A 7,384-nucleotide genomic window follows, 5' to 3' on the forward strand; every position below is an offset into this window, starting at 1 on the left:
ACACCACACACACACCACACTACACACACACAGCACACACACCGCACACATCACACACACACACCACACACACAAACGTACCACGAATGCACACTTTCACGCACACACCCCCCACACACAAATACACATACACCACACACACATAAACTTACCACAGATGCACACATGCAGACACACACCACGCACCACCCCCACAGCACACAGAAACACATACACACCACACACACAAACGTATCACAGATGCACACATGCAGACATATCCACAAGCATGCGGACACACATACACCACACACATCACACCATACACATACCACACACACATACATACTCATACACACCACACACCCATATACACAGACACCATACACACACCACACACACATATTCACACAGACACATACACACCACATATACATACACACAAACAGTTGCACATACATACACACAGACACACACAAGTACACACACTACACAGACAAGCACACACATCACACACACACACAGACATGACCCCTAGCCATGCCCAACTTTGCACTGGTCACTAATAATTTTTCTGGTTCTACCAATATTTACCGCTCTGATCAGGGAAGTGTCTGCATTTTTCTATTTCAAAGCTGTTCTGTAGGTATCACGTCGGGGGTGGTAATATTGGCCACCCTACGTCCTGTGTGCAGAGAAGGAATGAAGAGCGATTTGTGAACGCGAAGCAGCAAAGCTACTAACGGGTGCAGTTAAGAAACAGAACAATCAAGAAGAAACAAGAAAACGCCCTCCAGGAAACAGAAACCGGGTGCAGAGGCACTGTCTGCAGACCTACTGGAGCCTCAGGCAACCTGCGGAGGAAAAGCCCCAAAGTTCTTTTCAATCTTTGCTCCTGATAGAGAAAGACGGTGTTGCACCGTTCTTTTCATTTGCATGCGTGGAATTTCCAGTGAGGTCCACGCTCGCTGGCTCGCTGGCAGCTCCGTGGAATCCGCCCCACCCTTGCAGAGCTCTTTCATTGATTTGAAAGAGCCTCTGTGTGCACATAGTGCGACTGTTCCGAAGTCTTTATCACAGTTACTGGTGATGCTTTTTTCCAGATGTCCTCGACGTGCACCCATGAAGGGCTCCACCTGAGAGTGCCAGGGTCCTCCGTGGGATGGGGCTGGAGGGGGTGCTCTTGCCGTCCTGGGCTCCCAAGCAGCCATAGGAACAATAGGGTGATGGGGTCCCAGAGATAGAGGCCAGTGACAGCAGCGCTTTGAACCCCTCACACGGGCACGGGCCCTCTGGCAGGGATGGGCGTCCCGGTCACACGGAGATGGGGGCTGCTGCTGCCTGCAGGTAGAGGAAGGGACGTGTTTGGCAGTCCTGTGACCCCTGGGCACCTCGCCTCCCCCACGGCCGGCTCTGCTTGTAAACAGACAAGTGCACAAGCGCAGCCCGGTGAAGGCACAGCGGTCCCAGGAGGCATCTGGGCTGCACCCCAGCGAGCCGCCCATACACGTGGAGATGCCGGCCAAGGCCCTGCAGCACACGGCAGAGGAAGGCGCGATGGGAGCCATGCTGGGCCCGGAAGGTGCCGCCGCCCGGAGCTGTAGCCATCACTCCAGCTCTTCTTTTAAGTGTTCCCAGAAATTGTGACCCACCAAAATCTGAGAGCACCCGACAGTAAGCCAGAGGACCTTGATGTGAGATCCCAGCACGGTGTGGGGGCGGACTGTGGTGGGTGCTGTCTCGGCCCCCACCCCTTCCACAGGTCGGTGTGCACATCCCACGGCGCCTGCTAAGCTGCAGTCTTCTCCAAAGGGGTCACTCTCCGTGGGAAGGGAGCCACCCGCCCCCGGGTGATGTCCCCAGTCAGTGACTGACGACAGTCCCCAGCCGAGGTGAGGGACCAGCTCCTGCATCCCTCACTCCGGGGCTTGCCTGTGGGCCAGGGTGGGGGCGAGCCTCAGCAGAGACCGCGTCCCCCTTGCCTGTCCTGCCCTGCCTCCCCTGCCTCCCCCGCGCCTCTGCTGAGCACGCCCAGAGGGAGCTGCTTGCTGCGGAATCCCCACGTCTAGAGAAGGCAGCCTGAGACACAGCGGCGGTGGACGCGCACTCAGCCATTTTTCCTGAGATAGGGATGGATTTATGTTGATCTTGCCACATCTTTCTACTGCTTCCTCTAAGGTGCAAATATTTTTAAAACAGCTGTGGCTAGTGAAGTCTCACATGGTCTCAGAATCATTCCAGGTGCAGAGAAAGCCCAGATGTTGAGCCCTAGCATACGGAGGCCTTAGGAGTCAATGACCTGAGAAGCTTCCAGCAAAGCACCAGCACGAACCGCCCCACCTCCCCACCTCCCCGCAAGCGTTGTCGGGACTGACAGATTACAGAGCTCTGCTCCCTCTGCACTCCTGCTCTGCCACCCCCAGGGTGTCAGAATGTGCCCCCCACACAGTTTCCAAAAGATTCCACACATCTGGCTGGGCGTGGCGGCTCACGCCTGTAATCCCAGCACTTCGGGAGGCCAGGGTGGGTGGATCACAAGGTCAGGAGATTGAGACCATCCTGGCTAACACAATGGAACCCCATCTCTACTAAAAATACAAAAATTAGCTGGGCGTGGTGGCAGGTGCCTGTAGTCCCAGCTACTCGGAGGGCTGAGGCAGAAGAATCGCTTGAACCCAGGAGGTGGAGGTTGCAGTGAGCCAAGATCGCACCACTGCACTCCAGCCTGGCGAGAGAGTGAGACTCCATCACAAAACAACAACAACAAAAACCCACACATCCAACCTCCAGTTCTCCCACAACAGAATCCACAGCAGGAAGGACAAAGATGCAAAAGGACGTTTTCACAAGACTTGCTTTTCTTATCAGGGAAGAAAATATTTCCCAGAAATCCCAGAAATGCTCCAGGTGCCTTCTTCACGTGTCTCCTTGGTCAGAATTGGGTGACCTGCAGACTTCTGGCTTGTTCACAGGGACAGGTGGACTGGACAGCCATGGTTGGCTTGCACCAGAAAATAGTTAATCCTGGGGCTGGGGAAATCACTGCTTAAATAAAACAGAGGTTCATTAGCAACAGCAAAGGGCTTAGAGCCAACAGTGCCTGCCACCCTCCACCCTTAGAGAATTAAACCAGTGCTGGAGTAGAGCGTCACCAGGTGGTGGAAGGACCTTTGATGGTGCTGATCTCAGGGTCTATATTTAGTATCTAAAATAATTAACTGGTTGTTCACTGCCCAACACTGTAATTCATTCATTCTTTGAACATTCGTTAAGTACTTATCACTGATATTTCAGACAGTATTATAGATATAGTGATCTTTATCCCGGCTCCTTATGTAAGCAATATTACCAATAATAGAGTTGAAGATAAAAGGAAGGAAGCAAGCTTCCAAAGAAATAACCCAACGCAGAATTTAATAATGTCTCATTAACCTGGTGGTTGTTCATCAGATACTCTGTGGTCTTTATTAAAATGCAGCTGAGCAGGCAGCATCCCAGCACTTTTCCTGTGGTGAGGAATCTCGTTAAGTTGGGGAGCAAGGCCCCCAAGTTTTGCCACAAGAGCAGGAAAAGACGAAGTTCTTTCCTTCTCCCTGGAAGCTTAGATGTGGATTTGTGGCTCTCGGCCAGACAACTTACTGAAACGTTGGTAAGTACATGCGCCTGTTTGAGATGTTTGCCTGTACACCCGTTCATGAATGCTCTGTGAGGTCCTCTCTGGCTATAAGGCCCCATTGTTTTAAAGACAGCAACTTACAATAACTTAAAATGTCTGTTTTGCCTGGACCCACCATGGAAAGAATTGAATTAACGTGAAGTGTGTTGCAGTGAGTTCTGTGATGTATAAATTGCTGAGAACAAAGCAAAGCAAGGGCGAGGGGCATCTGTGACTACACTGCAGAAACGGGAGAGGGGCCGGGGCCGTCTTCAGAGGTGGCTGTGCCGTGACAGTGTCTGCAGGCAACAGTGTTGTCGCAGATGGCCATGGGTGATCTGACTATGCTCTCAGCCGCTGGGCCTGCCTGGGCCCCTGTCCTTTCCTCAGCTGGCTCTCCAGCTTTTCCTCAATCCCATGACTGTTGATTATTCAAGGGAGGCTGGTTTCTGTCGTTTCAAAACAGGAATCCAGGCCCACGTCCCTCACCAGGGAGGATTCCCTGACTGCTCACCTGACAGGTGCTGCTGACTGGTGCACAGGGCTGGCACCCCCAACTGTACACTGGGCAGGTACCTCTGGCTGTAGGTAGGGATGGTGCCCCCCCACTGTACACTAGGCAGGTACCTCCGGCTGTAGGTAGGGATGGTGGCCCTCACTAGTACCCCAGGCCAGTTCCCATGACTATGCAGGAGGCTGGGACCCCTGACTGTACACTCAGATGGGACCCCTGACTCTACCCCGGGGACGGAAACCCTGACCGTATGCCAGACAGGTACCCTCTGACTGTAAACTAGGATGGGATCCCTGACTGTACTCCAGGCAGGTACCTCTGTTAACTGACAAATGATGAGGTTCATGAATTTCAGAAGGAGAGTTTTATTTCTCATAGAGTTGCAGCCTGTGCAGTGGCCATTATGACAGGCTGGGAAGTGTAGCCTCCAGCCAGAAGCCACAAACAGGCACCTCAAGGGAGGAGCAAAGGGAAGAGGAATTTATGCTGGTGGCGTGGCTAAATATATATATTCAATTAGCTCTAGGAAAGCCATGAATATTTATTTATACAAGGAGAAACACATGCAACTGAGCTTCAGGCCTCTCCATGGGGAGCATGTTAAAAAAAAAATGGCAGCATTAAGCTGGGCACGGTGGCTCACGTCTGTAATTCCAGCACTTTGGGAGGTCGAGACAGGCAGATCACCTGAGGTCAGGAGTTCAAGACCAGACTGGCCAACATGGCAAAACCCTGTCTCTACTAAAAATACAAAAATTAGCTGGGCATGGTGGTGGCCATCTGTAATTACAGCTACTTGGGAGGCTGAGGCAGGAGAATTGCTTGAACCTAGGAGGCAGAGGTTATAGTGAGCCAAGATTGCACCATTGCACTCCAGCCTGGGTGACAACAAGAAAGAAAAACAGGCCGGGCGCAGTGGCTCACACCTGTAATCCCAGCACTTTGGGAGGCCAAGGCGGGCAGATCACGAGGTCAGGAGTTCAAGACCAGCCTGGCCAACATGGCAAAACCCGTCTCTGCTAAAAATACAAAAATTAGCTGGATGTGGTGGCACGTGCCTGTAATCCCAGCTACTCAGGAGGCTAAGAGAGGAGAATCACTTGAACCAGGGAGTTGGAGGTTGCAGTGAGATGAGATCACGCCACTGCACTCCAGCCTGGTAACAGAGCAAGACTCCATCTCAAACAAAAAAAGAAAGAAAAGAAAAACAAAAAAATGGCAGCATTAGCACCATCCAAGGGTGGAGTGTTTGGCCCTCTGACATCAAAAGGTGAAGCTGAGGGCACGAACCCTCACTGGGCATCTGAGGGCACGAACCCTCACTGGGCATCCCCTGTAGACCATCTAGATCCACTCCACGGCCTCTCGTCGGGCAGGAATGCTGGTCGGTTGCTTGTTGAAAGCACACAAGGGAGGGGCGGAGTCCAGCGGTGGGTGGATATCAGGGAGGAGTCTGTTGAAAAGGCTGGTTTCTGTTTAGCCCTGAGGAAAGAAACAAGGGAAGTTAACGAGGGAGGAGGCATAACAAGTTATGTCCAACCTCCCATCCCATCAGGGCCAGGAACTCGGTTTCCCTGGAGTTCCTCTGGGCTGAGAGGAAGACATCTGTTCAGTCAGTTGGTGGACTTAGTAGTTCATCTTTCTCACCCGTGACTGTACACCCGGCACATACCCCCGACCATATACCAGGCAGGCATCTCTGACTGTACTCCCGGCAGGTACCCCTGACCTAACATGTGACTGGTACATGAGCTGGTACCCTGGCTGGCACACATTCTTTGTAGGTCCAGTCTTACTGACATGCTGAAACAATTAGCTGTGCTTTTATTTCTAGGTTTCAGACCCATCGTAAGGCCATGGTCAATTTCTCTTACTCCCCAAGGGACACAGTCAAGAGAGATTGTTGTCACATAGGGGCCTTCTTTCAATGAATATGTTTGCATCTGAAAGAGGTAACCCACGATTGCCTGCCAGAAATGAGGGAAACAGACCGTGTCCTGAACTGCTTCCCACATACAAATCACCGCTTGTTTCCCAGGACATCTCAGTGCCAACAACTCCCTCGCAGCACATGACTCCCCCGGCATCTTCCGAAGGCTTGTATTTTCTCCACGAGCCATTACCTCTTGAAAAACTTTCACAAAGAAGACGTAAGGGCTTAAGTGGCGTGGAAAGTGGGTTTCACACAATGAGTCTATTTGAAAAGATCTTCAGGGGCTTCCAAATCCCTCTCTCCGGGAGCAGTTTATACTTCACACCGCTCATGGCAACACTGTCTTTAGGTTAATTCAATTCTTTCCATGGTGGGTCCAGGCAAAACAAACATTTTAAGTTATTATAAGTTGCTGTCTTTAAAACAATGGGGACTTATACCCAGACAGGACCTCACGGAGAATTCTTGAGCGCGTATACAGACAAAAATCTCAAACTGGTGTATGTACTTACTGAGATTTCTGAAATAGGAAAAATCTACTCATACCCCTATGAGGAATAAGCCCTCCTCTTGTCCCCATTGCTGGCAGGGCACACTGTCTCGTGTTCTCTTAGGACAATGCTCAGATTTGACGTGTTGTCACTGTGGGGTGGCCTGCAGTGCAGATTCCTAACATGAATGTGATTCATTCAACGCAGAAACTCTAGAGAGCTACAATCTTTGTCCGAAATGGTCTAAAAGTGAAGGTGAATTAAGGCATGGCTCACAGGAATTATTGTCAACTTGACTTGACAAAAGTTGAAAAGGTTGAAAATGGTGCCAGCAGGCACAGGTAAGCCCTCTAAGTCAAATCATCTTTTTCCCGTCAGTGCTTTCATGTTGTGTGTGACGAGTGAAAAACGTGATATTCATTCCTGCTTCAAAAACTTATAAGGGACTGGCTCTGGCAATAGAAAGCTGGCAGAAATCATAGATTTCAGGAATAAATGTAAACATCTGTCCAAGACATCCCATCTTCTATATGGACGAGTTAAAGCACATCCAGAAATTTATACCATTTTTTGTATTAGTATATGAAAGAAATGCAATTAAAAGCTAAAAATAAGAAAACATCTACTATTAAAACACAAAGACATTTACAAAGACAGCTGCACCTGTCACAGCATAGGGTAAGCGTGGGTCTTAAGCTCACCTGTCCATTGTCAGCAATTTATTGGGACCTTATTGTAAACAAGAAATGGGTTAAACAGTAAAGGTGCCAGACAGGTCATGAAACACCTGATCTCCATCTTCAAGCAGCTTA

General features: G+C 50.4%; 1 annotated feature.

Moving 5' to 3' along the window:
* Positions 2,009-2,920: an enhancer, noted in NCBI's record as "H3K27ac-H3K4me1 hESC enhancer chr21:44037913-44038824 (GRCh37/hg19 assembly coordinates)". NCBI's record gives its function as "activates a minimal SCP1, AML or CMV promoter by ChIP-STARR-seq in naive and primed H9 embryonic stem cells {active_cell/tissue: H9 hESC(naive and primed)}" and the evidence as "EXISTENCE:reporter gene assay evidence [ECO:0000049][PMID:30033119]".

The sequence above is a fragment of the Homo sapiens genome, chromosome 21 (assembly GCF_000001405.40).
Source record: "Homo sapiens chromosome 21, GRCh38.p14 Primary Assembly".
NCBI classification, from domain to species: domain Eukaryota; kingdom Metazoa; phylum Chordata; class Mammalia; order Primates; family Hominidae; genus Homo; species Homo sapiens.